Here is a 19066-nt window from a genome sequence, read left to right as displayed (position 1 = left end):
TAAATTTTTTATTGGTATGTGATATTTTACATGTTTACTGGGTATATGTGAGTATCTATTACATGCACAGAATGTGTAACGATCAAGTCAGGGTATCTGCGTTATCCATCATCACCTTGAGCATTTATCACTTCTATGAGCTGAGAACATTTCAAGTCTTCTCTTGCAGCTACTCTGAGATACATAATACATTGTTGTTAACTATAGTCACCCTATTCTGCTATTGAACGTCAGAACTTCTTTCTTCTAACAAATGGAACCCATTAACCAACCTCTCTTTATCTCCTCCTACCACCAACATACCCTTCCCAGCCTCTGTTTTCTATCTTCTATTCTCTACTATCGAGAGGCCAACTTTTTTTAGCTTCCACATGAGTGAGAACATGATATTTGTCTTTCTGTGCTTGACTTATTTCACCTCACATGATGACCTCGTCATCTATGTGGCTGCAAATGATCTCATTTTTTATGGCCAAATTGTATTCTATTGTGTGTATATATACCACAATGGACACTTAGGTTGATTCCAAATCTTTGCTATTGTGAATAGTGCTGTAATAAACACACAAGTGCAGGTATTCCTTTGATATACTGATTTCTTTTCTTTTGGATACTCAGTAGTGGGACTGCTGGATTATATAGTATTTCTATTTTTAGTTTATTTGAGAAATGTCCAGTTTTCCACAGAGGTTGTACTAATTTACAGTCCCACCGATGCCGTATTAAGAGTTTTCTTTGACTGCTGGATTACATAGTATTTCTATTTTTAGTTTATTTGAGAAATGTCCAGTTTTCCACAGTGGTTATACTAATTGACAGTCCCACCAACACCGTATTAAGAGTTTTCTTTTCTCTGCCTCTTTGCTGGCATCTGTTATTTTTTGTCTTTTTAACAGTAGCCATTACAACTGGGATAAGATATCTCATTGTGGTTTTGATTTGCATTTCCCTGATGATTAATGATGTTGAGCAATTTTTCACATGCCTGCTGGACATCTGCATGTCTTCTTTCGAGAAATGTCTATTTGTGTCCTTTGCTCACTTTTGTTTTTTTGAGATGTAATTTCGCTCTTGTTGCCCAGGCTGCAGTGCAGTGGCATGATCTCGGCTACCTGCAACCTCTGCCTCCCAGGTTCAAGCGATTCTCCTGCCTCAGCCTCCCAAGTAGCTGGGATTACAGGCATCCACCACCACGTGGGCCCAGCTAATTTTTGTATTTTTAGTAGAGATGGGGTTTTACCATGTTGGCCAAGCTGGTCTTGAACTCCTGGCCTCAGGTGATCCACCCACCTCAGCCTCCCAAAGTGCTGGGATTACAGGTGTGAGCCACCACGCCTGACCTGCCCACTTTTTAATGGGATTATTTGTTGTTTTTACTGTTGAGTTCCTTGTATATTCTGGATATTACAATGTCCCTTGTCAGATGCCAGTTTGCAAATATTTTCTCCCATTCAACAGGCTGTCTCTTCATTCTATTAATTGTTTCTTTTGCTGTATAAAGGTTTTTCAGTTTCTAAAATATAGTCCCATTTGCCTATGTTTTAGTTGTCTGTGTTTCTGAGGTCTTAGCCATAAAATCTCTGCCTAAAGCAATGTCCTGAAGTGTTTTTCCTGTTTTCTTCCAGTAGATGTGACGTTCCAGGTCTTATGTTTATGTTTTTAATCCATCTTATGTTGTTTTGCATATGGTGAGAGACAGGGGTCTGGTTTTATTCTTCTGCACATGGATATCCAGTTTTCCCAGCCTGAAGAGGGTGTCCTTTCCTCAAAGTATGTTCTTGTTATCTTTGTCGAAAATCAGTTTACTAAAAATACGTAGATTTCTGGATTCTCTGTTCCATTGGTCTGTGTCTGTTTTTAGGTCAATACCATGCTGTTTTGGTTACTAGAGCCTTGTAGTATATTTTGAAGTCCGGTAGTGTGATGCCTCCAGCTTTGTCCCTTTTGCTCAGGATTGCTTCAGCTATTTGGGCTCTTTTTTGGTTCCATATGAATTTTAGGATTGTTTTTTCTAACTTTGAAAAACTGATGTTGGTGTTTTGATAGCAGTTGCATTGAATCTACCAATTGCCTTGGATAGAAGAGTCATTTTAACAATATTAATTCTTCCAATCCATGAGCATGGGATGTCTTTCCATTTGTTTGTGTCCTCTTCGATTTGTTTCATCAGTGCTTTGTAGTTTTCCTTGTAGAGATCTCTCATCTTCTTGGTTAAATTTATTCCTAGGTTGTTGGGTTTTTTTTCTTTTTTCTTTTTGTAGCTATTATAAATGAGATACCTTCATGATTTCTTTTTTTGCCTGTTTCATTACTGGTATATAGAAATGCTACTGATTTTTGTATGTTGATTTTGTATCCTACAACTGTACTGATTTATCCAATCTAAGAGTTTTTTGGGTAAAGTCTTTAGGTTTTTCTAAATATAAGATCATATCATCAGCAAAGAGGAACAATTTGACTTTCTCTTTTCCAATTTGAATGCCTTTTATTCCTTTCTCTTGCTTGACTGCTCTGGCTAGGATTTCCAATACTACAGAGAATCTCTCTTCCACTCTTGATATTGGTTATGTATCTTTTCTCCTGTTTTCTTTTTTTCACCATTCTAGACAAAGATTCATCAATTTTATTGATCTTTTCAAAGAATCCTTATTTGTTTTTTAGTTCCATCTATCTTCTCTATCATTTGCCCATTTTCAATTCCACTGATTTCAATTATTCTGTTTATTATTTCATTCTTGTTTTTACTTTGGGATTACTGGATTCTAGAAGTATACAGAAACTGTTTCAATATAGCTCCTTTCTTTGTGCAATTACTGTCATATATTTCATCTTTACATGTTATAAGCCCAACAATTTAATTTCACAATTATTGTCTTTTATTTTAAAAGATGAAATGATGATAAAAATACATTTACACTGTCTGTGGCAAAAGTACTCAAAGGTAAAAGAATAGCATTTCCTAATAACTACTGCCAATGATAGACTTTCAGCTTTTCTTCTACACATTTTTAAAAAATTATACATAGCTGTAACCATACTCTAATTACTGAATTGCTTCTCTATATTTGGGCATTGAGAATGCCTACGTTTGAAAAATTATATACAATGAAAGGTAGGCTTTTTTTAAAACTACATCATGACATTCGGAAAGGTGAAACTTTTGTATAGAAAGTATTTCCTGCTTTTAAGACTGATTCCTCTGGCCACGTTAAAAGAATTATATTTAATCTAATCATTAATTAAACTTAATTTAAATAAAGAGTTAACATAAATTCTATATTGGCAAGATAAACTACTGTTTTTAAGACTTCAATACATACTGCTAAACTGCTTTCCAAATGTACTCTCATAAATTCCCATCAGTGTGCCAGTGTCACATTTGGAATTATCATTTGCAAAATCTTTCATTTTTGAAATGCTAAAAATATTTTTCACCGTTCTTCTGTGCATTTCTTTGATTACCCCCCTATCTCCTACTTTTTTTCATGTGTTTCACCAAAAGGATTTTACCTACTTTATCGAGAGGTTTTCTCAGGTTCCTCTGGGGATTTGCTTTATAGACTTAACTTCTGGAGCTTTAGCCAACTGCCCGTGGGCCAATTTGCATAAACACTGAATCTGAAGATGAATAAATGCACTAAGACATTGTCTCTTCCAACGTTATTTTCTTGAAATGTCCAGCATGGTCTTGGAGTTTTTAGAAGACTCAAAATTGGAAAATGAAGATAATAATGAGTTTGTTACAATTTCCACCCTTATAATAGAGACTCTTCCATCACGATTCTAACAGTACACTAACCTGGTCTGAGAGGCTACCAGGGTTTGTACAGACGTGCTATTATATGCATCCCATAAAGACTACCAGGGTTTGTACAGACGTGCTATTATATGCATCCCATAAAGACTACCAGGGTTTGTACAGATGTGCTATTATATGCATCCCATTTGTGCTTAAAACCTCAAGTATTTTCGGACCACAGTAAAACCCTAAGTTTTCATCATTTTGACGCAGGATGCTTGAAGGTAAAGCAGCAAAGTACCACTTGTATGCACAGGCCAGTGTTCCACTGTCAGCCCTTCATATCCACGTGTTCCCTAGCACAGTGTCAACAAACCACAGATGAAAAATAACTTGATTAAAAAATTAGAAATAATACAACAATACATTTTTAAAAAACAATACAGTATTACAACTACTTACCCAGCATTCACAGTGTGTTAGGTATTATAAGTAATTGAAAAATGATTTTAAAGTACACAGGAAGATATGCGTAGGTTATATGCAAATACTATGCCATTTTCTACCACGGACTTGAGTATCTGTGGTTTTGTTATACTGAGGGGGTAGCTCTGGAACCAATCCCCTGTACATACCAAAGGACAACTGTGCTCTCCAATATGGCAGCCACTCATCACATGCAACCATTTAAAACATGGCTACTGTGTCCGAGGAACTGAACTTTTTAATTAACTTGGCTGAAATTTAAATAACCACACCTGCTATGGACAGCACAGGCTTAGATTAAACTAGAAAGAGAGCCACACTGTTACCCTTTTGGAATACAGGTAGTATCATTTACTCGACTCAGACTCGCTCATTTTCTCAACGGATTTCTCCAGAAGCAGCAGCAAGTGTGGCTTCACGTGGCCGCTCCCCACCAGGCTGCCTGTGGTCACATCGCTCTCCCCAAACTATGGTCACAAGCAACCTCTTACTCTGATTTTGGCTAGCTCTGTGTGATCACTGATCGGTGGTTTTACCAGGCGGGTATATGAATTTAACATTAGTAAAATCTGACCCATCAATATATTTGAGTAATTTCTAGGTGGGTGAGTGACTGGTATTAGACACCTATGTCCCATTTATTAAACTGCATCTGGCTAGCTTCCCTCCTGCTCCTTTACTAATCTTCATTTCAATTAACGGCAATTCTTTTCTTCCTGATCCTCAGGCCAAAAGCTCAGTTATTCTTGATTTACTTCACTCTCACCTCATATCCCAGCTACTCTTCTTGCCTTAGGGCTTACGCCCTTCTGATATGTTCACATACTATAACTAGCTAATTTACTAAAGCACGAATCTGTTCTCCCATTCCTCTGTCAAAGGTTTTGACACCTCACCAATGTCCCTACAATAAATTATTGGATATATTCCAATCTTACTGAACATTCTTCATCTCCTAAAACCAAAAGTGCTCCTTCTTTCCTTCAACCCGTCACACGCAGTGCCCCCTGAGTTGGAGTAATTCCACACCCCCATCCTTCCAGCCTCCATCCTTGCCTCACCTTTCCAGATTTCCACTCCAACCACGCTTTATCTAGGAAGTCTTCCTTGCACTCGTCCACCCACCCCAGCAGACAGTGAGGACCTTATTACACATGGCCCTTAAATTCACTCTTTTGGAACTGCCTTGTTTTCTTAGGGGCAATACAGAATTACAGGTAAGAAACGGTTTGAATCCCAGCTCCACTGCTTATGAAGTAATGACCTTGGGTGAATTACTTACTCTTCCGTAGCTTAGAATTTTTAATGTAAAAACTGATAATACTTATTATCCTAAAAGAGTTGTGAGGAATTTGGCATAGACTAAACCCTCAATAAATGTTGGCTATAACTCCATCCCCCAGCAAATGACGAAGTACCAGAAGGAGAGTCCCATATTTGCTCATTTCTGCATCTTGGGGCCCAACCCTGGGCCTGGCATCTATTAGGTGCTCAATAAATATTTGCTGAATACATAGTTTATAAAGGATCAGCTGGCCACCTTGTCTATCTATATGAATTCTTGTTCTTTCTTCCTCTCTGTCTCTCCACACACACACACACACACACACCACACACACAGCAGGGTGAGAAGGTGAGGGAGAGAAAAAGAGAGAGTGAAAAGTCAAGTCTTGTTTCTTATGAGTTAGTCCACTCACTGTTCCCTATTGGGATCTTTGACTTCATTTTGGTTTACTATCCACCACAAAATGAGCTACTAACAGGAGGAGCCAATCTGACTGGAGTTCACAAACTTTTAAAGAAATTACATTGTTTCGAGACTGGACGCGGTGGCTCATGCCTGTAATTCCAGCACTTTGGGAGGCTGAGGTGGGCAGATCACTTGGGATCAGGAGTTCGGGACCAGCCTAGCCAACATGGTGAAACCCCGTCTCTACTAAAAAAAAAAATTAGCTGGGTGTGGTGGCACACACCTGTAGTCCCAGCTACTCGGAAGGCTAAGACAGGAGAATCGCTTGAACCTGGGAGGCGGAGGTTGCAGTGAGATGAGATCACGCCACTGCACTCCAGCCTGTGTGACAGAGCAAGACTCCATCTCAAAATAAATAAATAAATAAAAAAGAAAAGAAACTATACTGTTTTGAAAGTAACAGGTACGGCTGAGGTGGGAGGACTGCTTGAGCCCAGGAGGTAGAGGCTGTGATGAGCTATGACTGTGCCACTGCACTGCAGCCTGGGTGACACAGGGAGACCCCGTGGGGGGTGGGGGGAGGCATGATGCATTCAAGCAACTTTATAATCCCACCATAACGCGGCCCATTTCCAGTATTTTTTGATAAAAGAAAAGATTGGTCTTGTCTCTGTAAAACTGAGGAACAATTACTTTAGATAACTGGTGTTAGTTTTCGCTTTCTTTCTTGACGGAAGCAAAACAGATATGGGTTCTACCCTCAAGAAGCTTTAGATGAATCAGAGATATAGACATAAAATAAAGAACTATAAAACAATTCATTACGCTTATGATAGCTGTAATAATAAAAAAGTACAGGGAACAATAATATCATATAACAGAGGGATAACATCACACAGGGAACAACAGTATCACATAGCAGGGATATATACAAGGATCCTAGGTAACCTGGTCTGGATATATACAAGGATCCCGGGTGACCCGGTCTGGCTGGTAAGAGGTTTCCCTGAGAAAACGATCAGTGAGAGCTGAGAGAGAAGCAGGCAGAGCAAGGTGATGGGGCAGGGGTGGGGAGAGAGCAGAAGCGTGACCCAAGAGGGTCCCAGGCCAAAACCTTTGCACTCAGTGACTCTGAAAGAATGCAGAGGGGCTGTGGCTCAAAGCTGCAGCTGGAAAGGTAAGAGGGGCCAGGCACTGCAGCACCATGTGGATCACACTATAAACTTTGAATATCATCCTAAGAGAAATGGGAAACCAATTATGGATTTTTAAAAGGAAATATTTTTATTTCCATTTTAACAGGTCACATTATTTGGAGACTGGTTGGGAGGGGGCAAGACTGGAGGCAGGGATGGAAGAGACCACTGTAGCAGTCCTGGTGAGGAATGTTTCCTGGCCCAAAAATGGGGTGGCATCTCCAGGGAAAGGAAGTGAAAAGCTCTGACAACTTTTTAGGAGGCAGAATCAATAAGACTTAGCAATCAGTCATATTAGAGGTAAGGAAAAGGTACCAAGGATGGTTTCTAGATTTCTGGCATGGCAATCAGAGGCTGTGGTGACACTTACTAGAATGAACACCGTGGTGAGAATGGACACAGCTTGTGCTGTGCTGGCGATGTCTATGAGCCATGAGAGTGCAGACATTAAACACATAGTTGGCTACACTGATCTAGAGGTCATAAGCCAGGACTACACTAAATACAGAGCATGCCTAAGCACCACAGGTGGCCATAAGCAAGTGGGCAGTAGGTGTTTGCTTCTACTAATTTTTCTAAGTTGGTTCATAATACACTGGGTGAAACACTTTCTGAATCTCTTATTCTACTAGGGAAAGGGTATCAGGTAAAAGGTGCTACATAAAAACAAATACAGGGCTTATCCAAAATATTTGTTGTTTTAAATAAAAACTCAGAAATGGAACCACACATATATGAAAACCTTATATCTGACCTAGTGCACAGTAATGAAGAAAGAAGGCATGATTTAGGCTGTCTTTATGGGAAAAAAGTGAAACTGTACCAGGCTACCTCATATACACCAAAGCCAATTCTGAACAGATTAAAAAGCTAAATACCATAAAACATTTTAGAAGAAAACAAAGGCAAATAATGACCCTGCAGTATACTTCCTAAACAAGACACCAAGGGCACAAACGATAAGGCTAAAGAAAACCATAATTCACCTACATTGAAATGTAGACTTCTGCCCGACAACAAAAACAAGAATGTGAAAAAACTACAGAAAGAGAGAAAACATTGCAAAATCTAACAAAGGAGAATATATAAACAATTCCAACAAATCAGTAAGACAAAAAGCCCAGTCTTGCAATGTTTGTTACTCATATGTCATTTTTTCCAAGAAAAAAAAAGAAAAAGAGAGGCAGGTATATCACACCAGGAAAGAGAAAAACCATCTGGTAAGTACATCACTAGCAAAGGCAGGTGAACAGGCACTATCCTGCCCGGTCAGTAAGGACATAAAATGATGACAATCTCTTCGGAGGACAACTTGCCAATATCCATAAAAAATGTTTTGACTTGGCAAATGCACTTCTAGGAGTTAGTCAAGAAATAAACTCTCACATAATGTAACACGATCATTCAAGGACATTCTCTGTAATGTTTCTAGTAGCAGAAAAATGAAAACTTACAATGTCCAACAATAAGAAGTGTAAATAAATTACATCCATACGATGGAATCTGAGACAGAGTCCTATGCAGATAAGGAACTATCACGAAATTAACTGTTATGTGAAAAAATCAAGAGGAGGAACAGAACATTTTAAAAAGGGAGCTGGCTACAAGGTAGAAAACGGAAAAATATTTCTGCCTACATGCATAGACTATCTCTGGATGGTACAAAAGAAACCGGTGAAAGAGATGGCCTCTAGAAGAAGAGTAAAGGACTGGGGCTAAAAGTTAGAGACTTGCCCTCACTGATCAGCTTTAAGTGGCTTTTTAACCATGTATGTATGCACTACCTTTTCAAAAAACAAAATCTCCTGCTGTGAAAATTCCAGCCATTCTCAAAAAATAAAAGAGAATAAACAAATGATAGTATATCCATACCTATCAATACTATATTCAGCAGCTGAAAAGAAGAGTGAATCAATATGTATTAATAGAACCAACAGAAGGTTTCTTTGGGGGTAATGACAATGTTTTAAAATTGACTTTGCTGATGAATATCCAACTCCATGAATATGCCGAAAGCCATTAACTGTACACTTTAAATGAGTGAATTCTGTGGCATGTGAATTACATCTCAATAAAGCTATTAAAATATATATAGATATACAGTCATATATACTACTTAACAACAGGGATACATTCTGAGGACTAGGTTGTTAGGTGATTTCGCTCTTGTGTGAACACCATAAAATGCACTCACACAAACCTAGACGGCACAGCGTACTACACACCCAGGTTATATATAGCTTACTGTTCTTAGGCCACAAGCCTGTACAGCATGTTACTGTACTGAATACTGGAGGCAACTGTAATACAATGGCATTTGTGTACCTAACCATAGAAAAGGTACAGTAAAACATGGTATTATAATTTTATGGGACCACCATTGTAAATGGGGTCCATGATTGAGCAAAATGTCCTTATGCTGCACGTAACTAGATACATACATATATACAGAGAGAAAGATTCAGAAACTATAGCCCAAGCTTGTCCAACCTGCAGCCCACGGTGGGCATGCAGCCCAGGACAGCTTTGAATACAGCCTAACACAAATTCATAAACTTTCTTAAAATATTATAAGACTTTTTTGCTTTTTTTTTTTTTTTTTTTGCTCATCAGCTGTTGTTAAGTGTTAGTGCATTTTATTCATGGCCCAAGACAATTCTTCTTCCAGTGTGGCCCAGGGAAGCCAAAAGACTGGATGCCCCTGCTACAGCCTCTAAGCCCCTCACTGGTTTTTTCTTTTTTTCCCCCCACCATTGGTTTTGATAAAGTTTTACTGGAACACAGCCACACCCATTAGTTTACATACTATCTGTGGCTGCTTCCAGGCTCCGACTGCAGAGCTGGGTAGTTACAAAGCCAGTACGGCACACAAAGCCTCTCATGTTTACTATCTGGCCTTTTACAGAACAAGTTTGCAGACTCCTGCTATTAAAAAGTCTTTAAGTCACACAGTTGTATAAAAAACAACAGTTGTAGAATTATACAGTCAGTATTATCATTGATGTTCAAAACCACACACAACATAATACGACAGAATTTTTCTTTCTTTCTTTCTTTCTTTTTTTTTTTTTTTTGAGCAGAGTTTCACAATTTCGCCCAGGCAGGAGTGCAGTGGCATGATCTCAGCTCACTGCAACCTCCACCCACTGGGTTCAAGTGATTCTCCTGCCTCAGTCTCCCAAGTAGCTGGGATCATAGGCACCTGGCCACTATGCCCAACTAATTTTTTTACTCTTAGTAGAGATGGGGTTTCGCCACGTTGGCCAAGCTGGTCTCAAACTCCTGACCTCAGGCGATCCACTCACCTCGGCCTCCCAAAGTGCTGGGATTACAGGCGTGAGCTACCACGCTTGGTCATATGACTGAATTTCTATGAGTCCATGTAATAGTGTCAGGAAATACTCCAGAAGGATAAGCACTAAACCAAACGTATACCCAGTTACATCCACACAGAGGCAGATGGACAAGGATTAGGGGTTAGTCAAAGGGGACTTTGGCTTTATTTGTATAATTTAACTGAAGATTTGCTTCATTTGAAAGAGACAATATTCATGTATTACTTGAATAACAGAACTTTTAGTAACTTTTTTTAAAGTAAGGCTGGCAGAAGTGAAAAGCAACAGGACTAGGTGGAATAAACATTGTGAGCCCTCATCTTGGTCTTAATGTTATGAAGCCCTGCATAGAATTTTAACCGTTCTGACTTTACACCCACCTTTTACTTTTTACAGATCTTTTTCCTGGCGTTCCACTTCTATTTCCCTTTCATCAACTTCAGAACTGAAGTTTTTGTGTTGTAAGGTGAAATGACATGGAAGACAAGCTACAAAGTAGGCACAGGCCAGAGAATTTCTGGGTTCTGACAATGGTCAACTATTTCAGGCACATAGTTCCCATTTCAGGGCCCCTGGGCCATGTGGCTACTCCTAGTCTCAGTGTTAGCATGCCTTGCAATCAGTCCATCCTGTTAGCCTTTGTATTCATATATTCACATTATTCACATGACCCTCATAAGAATTCTAGAACTTCCAACATTTTTCTGCACCTCAAAATGCAAGGAAGTTTGGCTAGTTTTGTAACAAAGTGCACCTTAGGAAGGAAACTAAATCACTTCTAATGAGCAATTAAAGCCCTAGAATGGCATGTATGTAATTTGAGTCCCCAACCAAGCTGCTTTCAACCATAATTTACAGAGATAATGTGGGTATACATGATCAAATATATAAAAAACCCATCTCTAGGAAAATAAAGTAGGCTGAAATTCAACTGGAGAAAGTAGTTTTGGACAATCATTGGTTTAAAAACCATGGGAATGAACAGTTTTTCAAAGCAAAAACATTAATATGTCAAATATAGTTTCCAATTGCACATATTTATACAAAATTAGATCTCAGATAACCAATCTTCTTATAGTATACCTACAAACTATGTACAGTTTCTGGAAAAAACAAGTGCTCTAAAATAACAAAGGAAAGCATCTGAAACAAAAAGATAAGGATAGGGTATCATTAGGCCATGATGTTTAAAGGACTGGTGCTCGGTCTATACGCTTAAGCAATAATCAACAGGGGAAACTTGTGCAATTCTCTAATTATGGGCATACCACAGCCACTTCTGCTTCTGAAACAAAAGCAGCTGGACAACCTGAAGAAAGGTAGCTTAGCTGAAATAACCTGGGCAAACCTGGCTGTACAGACACTACAGTTTCAGGGAAAAGAATCCATTCATAAAACTGATCTTTTAAACAATCTGGTTTTAAACAAAAAGGCACACTTATAGCAAATCTTCACAAAGGAGAGAGAATAATATGTTGAGTATTAACAGAAGAGAAGCATTAAAAATTACAAATAGACACATTTTAAACTAAACATCATTTATGTTTCTCCATGGGGAAAAAGATTTGCTTCTACAAAACTCACCTCCGTGTTCTAGAAAAACCCGAACACATCTTTCCTTTCCTCTTGCTGCAGAGAAATGAAGCAGAGTCCAGCCATTCGCATCTCGGCCATTCGGGGAATAGCCTTGTTCTAGCATCTTTCGCACTGTGTGGACATCCCCAGCAGCCACCGCGGCCTGAATCTGCAACTCTTCCTGGAGCTCAGGGTTCCTTCGACAATGATGGTGTAACATCCTAGCTGAGTCCACTTTTTACAAAGGATTCATTAGGTTACGGGGATCAGCCTTTAAGAAGAGAAGGTAGAAAAGGTAAAATTTAGAATAACTGGTTCCTGATACTGCATCTATTAAATATCACAGAACATTCCATTTGCTACATCAGTAAACCTTACTAATGACAGTGCATACTACTAGCTGGGTGTGGTGGTGCAAGCCTATAGTCCCAGCAACTCAGGAGGCTGAGGTGGGAGGATCACCTGAGCCCAGGGGATCAGTCCCAGCTACTTGGGAGGCTGAGGTGGGAGGACGACCTGAACCCAGGAGATCAAAGCGGCAGTGAGCCATGATAGCAACACTGCACTCCAGCCTGGACCACAGGGCAAGACCCCATCTCAAAAAAAAAAAAAAAAAAGTAGCAATATATTTTAAAACCTTAAGAATCTAAACAATCAGGCCAAGCACAGTGGCTCACGCCTACAGTCTTAGCACTTTGGGAGGCCAAGGCAGGCAGATCACTTGAGGCCAGGAGTTTGAGACCAGCCTGGCCAACATAGTGAAACCCTGTCTCTACCAAAAATACAAAAATTAGCCGGGTGTGGTGGCACATGTCTGTAATCCCAGCTATTTGGGTGGCTGAGGCACAAGAATTGCTTGAACCCGGGAGGTGGAGGTTTCATTGAGCTGAGATTGCGCCACTGCACTCCAGCCTGGGCAAGAGAGTGAAATTCTGTCTCAAAAAAAAAAAAAGAATCGAAACAATCTGGTGATTAACCACATGATCAAATTACTAAAAGGAAAAGTAGTACAGTGAATTCTCATACTCTCTAATAGGTCACAAAAAAGGACTGTACTAAAACCCAACATACAATGAAATATCTGGCCAGGCACAGTGGCTCACGTTTGTAATCCCAGCACTTTGGGAGGCCAAGGAAAAAGGGACCACTTGAGCCCAGGAGTTCAAGACCAACCTGGACAACACAGTGAGACCCTGTCTCTACAAAAAAATACAAAATTAAAAAATTAGCCAGGCATGGTAGTGTGCACCTGTAGTCCCAGCTACTCGGCAGGTAGAAGCAGGAGGATCACTTGAGCTTGGGAGGTTGAGGCTGCAGTGAGCTGTGATTGTGCCACTGCACTCCAGCCTGGGATACAGAGCAAGACCCTGTCTCAAAAATTAAAATAAGAAAGTAAAATGAGACCTCCTTCATGGAAACAGTAACAGTCCAAAGTGAAATGGTAAAAAGTTGCATCTTACATGTGTGTATACAAAAACATTTTTAGTGTGTTTTTAAGCTTTTAACTACATACAGAAAACTAACAAGCTTCCAGAAAGCCACTCCAGGTGTGCTAACTGGAAGGAATAGATTAGACTCATCTCTTAACTAGTAGTCCCTTTGTTTCTAAACATTTTTTAAACTGTGATGAAGCCCTTTAAAGACATTTCTGTTCTCATATGTAGGTTAGACATATCAGGATAATCTTGCTACCAACAATCGTTTATCTTGCAAAACTTACTATAGACTGTACAAAAGTAAACTTAGGCCTAGGTTAAGTCAAATCATTACAACTTAAGAATACAAATATCCTATGTTGTTTTATACATAGAAAATGGTGTCATTACCTACTCCTAAGTATCACAACTAAGTGCTCAAATTTAAAAATATCAAGCTACTTCTACAAATAGCTATTTCCTCAGAGAAATATGGGAATAAACAAGATTGCCTCTTTTTTTTTTTTGAGACGGAGTCTTGCTCTGTCACCCAGGTTGGAGTGCAGTGGCGCGATCTGAGCTCACTGCAACCTCCACCTCCCGGGTTCACACCTTTCTCCTGCCTCAGCCTCCCAAGTAGCTGGGACTACAGGCGCCTGCCACCACGCCCGGCTAATTTTTTTGTATTTTTAGTAGAGACGGGGTTTCACCGTGTTAGCCAGGATGGTCTCGATCTCCTGACCTCGTGATCCACCAGCCTCGGCCTCCCAAAGTGCTAGGATTACAGGCGTGAGCCACTGCGCCCGGCCACAAGATTGCCTCTTATTTCTTCTCTCAATTCCTTCACAAAAATTGTCCCTTCTTAGAAATTTTAAAATGAGAATCCTTTCAGAATAGGTTTTTGCTTATTCTGTTATGAGAGAAAATGCTGAAGACCGTCTGAAGGAATTAATGGAAACATACTATGCTCACAATCATCCTTAACAGCTTTTCTTTTTAATTAAGTGATTATGTTGGCACTTAAACGAGGCCTACCATGCAAGAAAAAGACTGAAACAATATCAAAACAAACCTGGGTTTTCTTTAGTGAGTGGTGTATTTAGTATACATTAACTGATTTAAGAGAGAAGTAAAAGTTAAGTGAGCTTTCCCCCGGAACAACACAGATGACCAATGACCCTGAGGCAACTTGCCTTATGGAAGAGTGTCCCTTCTCCTGATGTACGGATTGCCTAGTAACCATTGTGCACGTACAGCATCGTGGGGAGGGGCTTCAAAGTACGTCCAGGCTACAGAGCAAAAAAGCCTTCTTAACCTAGAAACAAATAAAAATAACAATCATAGGAAAATTCCTTAAAATAATAATCATAGCTGTCTGCATAGTCTACCTTTTGATGAATGTAAACTTCAGTGCTTTACAATAAATCTATAGAGCAGAGAAAGAACTCAGATCAACTCTTACAGAAAATAATCTTGTTACATATGTTCATCTCCAATAAATACTATTTAGTTTCAGGCTTTTCCCCCCAAAATGCAGCTATTTGAGAAAGAGCAAATAAAAAAAATAATAAATCACATATTTGGAATTTGGATGCAAGCATAGATTCTTCATTTTCCTCTATTGAGAATACAGTTTCAGACTTGCTTTATCTGAATTACTTTTTAACCGACACCATAAGTCACCTGCACTTTCTAAACAGGACTTAAATGAGAATACGTGTGCATGAAATATAATAGGTGGCCTGGGTTAAAATAAAATCTATGACAACTAAAAGGAGACTGTGTCTTTAAATGCATTTTCTTCATGTGCCCTAAAGGCATCAAGTCAATCACTTTGAAATTGTTATTCCTTTATGCATACACCGAACTAGATAAAACATTAACAACAGCCTTGCCAGGTTCCCCATGTGAATTCTGAATAAACTCTCTCCACAACTAAAAGAAAAGGGATCTTTCTTCGTGTCAATTAAATTCCAGCTCTGTTAATTCCAACAAAGTTAAGGACACAAAGTGACTTCCACATAAAACTCTAGGAATTACATATTGGGAGAACTACTACCTCATCCCCTGACGGTGGGTGAGCATCACTTAAACCTTCAGACAAGAAAAGGTCGGGCCACTTAGCAACCTGGCCCGCAGCAGTTGTATGTCCTGCTGGCTGCACACCAGAATTTTCAACCAATCCAAATTGGTATAGTCCACTTCTCTCTTTTCCTCTATTCTCATCTACTTTTCCTTGACAAACCTCTTCAAGGAAGGTAAAGAGTTTGCCAACTTGCCCTTGGAAATAAAATTTGTTTTAAAATTCTATTATTATTTCTAAATAAATGAGGCCGACGAGATCAGAACAACTCCTACAAAGCAAGCTGTGAAACATGCAAAGCGATCCTTATACAAATGGCCGATTCTAAGACTGGAACATCACACGGTGCCAGAAAGCAAGGAGGTGCTCAAAGAAAGACACCACGGTGGGGGAGGTCAAAGGGACACAGGAGCCAACTGAAAGATCCCTCAATAGCCAAAGAGGGAATAACTGCAGCAATACTTAAAACAGTACCAGATGACAAAGTACAAAGTGGATATCAAGAGTTCACATTGATACAAATAACTGATTCGATAAATAAAGGGGGAGAAACACATCTGTTGTTCAGAATTCCAAATAATTTGTATAGGTAGTCTCTCCTCAAGGTGGTGACAAACATGTTAATATAAGATGTTAGTAGGAGAAACTGAGTATCGAGCATGTAGGAACTCTGCACAGCCTCAGTAATTGTTCTGTAAATCCAAAGCTTTCCTACAATAAAGTTTATTTTAAAATGCAAATCAGTGTCCCCAGTGATGAGCCTCACACATTGCCACAAATGAATATGCCACCACTTTTCACGAGCTACATCTACATTTCAAGAGTGAACATCACTGGACATCTCACTTCCAAGTGTGTCCTCAGCACCCCTTACTTCCCATAAGAAGTAAACATGACCCAACATAGCTTCAAGCCTGAAGAATCCTTGTGGTTGTTGCTGGCTTCCAACTATCCACCGCCACTTCCATGGAGGCAGCTGGAAGTGTCAGGGAAGACGGCATGAGAGCTGAGCAGAATAGGAAATGGTGTTAATTTATTAACAATATCAAGAAAAGGCCTGGTGGTAAAAGATGAAGTGGCCAAACTATTTCTCCCAACAAGAAAGATTCACAGGTGGTAGCAACTTGTGCTAATTCCATATGAGCTCCTTCAGTCAAACAAACAAATGTCTACAGAATGCTTGACACTTAACGTGGCACAGTGATAGGGTTTGGCCACAGGTAGCACCTCCAGGTGGTATTCCAATAGAGTTCTGCATACTTAAAATGAATTTTTTAAAATCCCAGACATTTTAAGATTATTTTTCTCTTTTCTGAAAATACCAAGTGCTATAAACAATAACCACAGGTTTAAACCAAAAAAGTACTCCCTGCATGTACTAGTGCATCAACGTTTACCAGAAAAAAACATACACACACGTCATGCACACATGATCCCTGTCAGCTACACTGCTTTGAATTACGACAGAAAATAATTTATTACAAAAGACCCCCAAATAGTCAAAAGCATCAACAAGTAATTTCCTCCTGGTGTTACTTTATGAGAGCTGCGCCTGACAGAGTCGAGTCACGTGTATAAATGAAGAAAAGACTATGGAGCTGAAAAGCAAACACAATATCTAGTGGTAAATATGTCTATTAAAAAACAACAGAGGAAGTCCAGAGATGAGAATGGAAGAAAGCCTATTTTCCCTCAGGGAGTTTATTAAAAAACTGATAGCTCATGGAAGTCACCTATAAAAAGAAAAGGAATATAGCAAAGGAAGTAATTTTCTTTTTTTTTTTTTTGAGACGGAGGCTCGCTCTATTGCCAGGCTGGAGTGCAGTGGTGCGATCTCGGCTCACTGCAACCTCTGCCTTCAGGGTTCAAGCGATTCTCCTGCCTCAGCCTCCTAAGTAGCTGGGACTACAGGAGCGTGCCACCACACCCGGCTAATTCATGTATTTTTAGTAGAGACGAGGTTTCACCATGTTAGTCAGGATGATCTCGATCTCTTGACCTTGTGATCCGCCCGCCTCGGCCTCCCAAAGTGCTAGGATTACAGGTGTGAGCCACCGCGCCCGGCCAGGAGGTAATTTTGTAAGTTATGTATGTTTAGTTATGTTTTTGTGGACTCAGGAGCTACTGATACTCTGAGGGTATGATCTTCAGAAATTTTATTCTAGCTTTCACAGTCACAAGGAAAAAAAAAGCAAACAAACAAGGAAGACTTTCTTTTCCACTTGGGGTCAAAAGAAAAGAATCTAGGCTTCCAAGCTTTAATACTATTGACCATATTAAAAACTACTAATTTAGAAATTCAAGTACATTACCATCTAATTTCCATATAGATGCCAAGTGAAGTTCATTTAGTTAAACCCAAAACTTCTTGCTTCACATAGTTAAGTCTATATGATAGAACAGCGTGAAGAATAAAATAAACATAAAACAAAATATGCTTAAGACCTGTCCGAAGTTACAAAACCTTCACCAAATTTGACCATATTTCCCAAATCTCCTTTGGCATAAATGATTAGACATTAATGACTTTTTGCATATTATTATCATTAAAAGTCCACACATTTCTGATTAAGTGATGCAAACTGAACTGTGCTTTCTGATGTCACATAAACTTAGCAACAAGATAATGGCTTATTACTCAAAGAAAGAAATAAGCATTTCTTTGCAAAGTAAACAAAAATACATGCTGGTAAGAAAATAAATGCAATCAGCAACTCCGACGACATTGGGTCTGAGAAAAAAAAAACAATCCTTCAATGGTTCACATTCACAAGATCTAAGAGGGAAGATGGATGGAAAAACACTACACGGCCGTACCAAAACGGAGAACATGGCTGAGATGCCTGTTCACAAGCTCTACTGATATGATCAGGAGCCTGGAACCCAAAATAAGGTATAAGTGTTATTTTAGTGTCACTCAACAAAGTATAGCATAGTGGTTATGATCCAAAACAAATAAAGGTATTAGTATTTCCTCCAAATTACTGGGCCTCCATATAACATAAGGATTTATTACCATGCACAACTTATCCATGACCCACATAAATTCCAGCAGAGAAACCAATAATTTTCATGAAGTGTGGATGAAGCAACAGAAGAAATTTTGGACTTATCCAGACCCAACTCAAAGCTTAAATCACAAGTATTATAATGATGAGGTCCTGTCAATATTATCTTATTAACCTAGGTCTGCCAACACCATCTTTGTAGCCTCATGTGTCAATTCCTAGAAAGTTTGCAAGAAAGGAGACAATCATCCTACGTAGGGAGGGCATTCAGGGGATTATGATGTGGAAGGCTGAAAGTCAGGTAACAGATATGCCCATATAAATCATATCTGGCTTTAGACTTTTTAGGGATGGTGTGTATCTCTATGTCACCAAAGTTAAACGTGAACAAATTAAAGAGATACTGTATGTGTCATAGTATTAACTAATTGTAAATGACATCACTTTATGTGTAAAGAATGTAAGTACTGGCCACAGTATACTAAAGATGCATCATTGCATATCTTCAATTAAAATCAATTATTCTCCCTACGTGATTA

General features: G+C 39.2%; 1 protein-coding gene across 2 annotated transcripts in view; it reads right to left on the bottom strand.

The window, feature by feature from the left end:
• Window positions 1-19066, bottom strand: part of ASB7 (ankyrin repeat and SOCS box containing 7) — a 49113-nt gene that overhangs the window by 27244 nt on the left and 2803 nt on the right. For both annotated transcript variants that reach the window (NM_198243.3, NM_024708.4), the window contains exons 3-4: window positions 14630-14751; window positions 12031-12292 (exon numbers count right to left, since the gene is read on the bottom strand). In NM_198243.3, the coding sequence (NP_937886.1) occupies window positions 12031-12241 (211 nt within the window). In that variant the 5' untranslated portion in view covers window positions 12242-12292; window positions 14630-14751. The remainder of the gene's footprint in view (window positions 1-12030; window positions 12293-14629; window positions 14752-19066) is intronic.

Source organism: Homo sapiens, chromosome 15 (assembly GCF_000001405.40).
Source record: "Homo sapiens chromosome 15, GRCh38.p14 Primary Assembly".
Taxonomy (NCBI): domain Eukaryota; kingdom Metazoa; phylum Chordata; class Mammalia; order Primates; family Hominidae; genus Homo; species Homo sapiens.
Note: the sequence above shows the minus strand (reverse complement) of the source record. Positions and strands in the feature narration are given on the sequence as shown.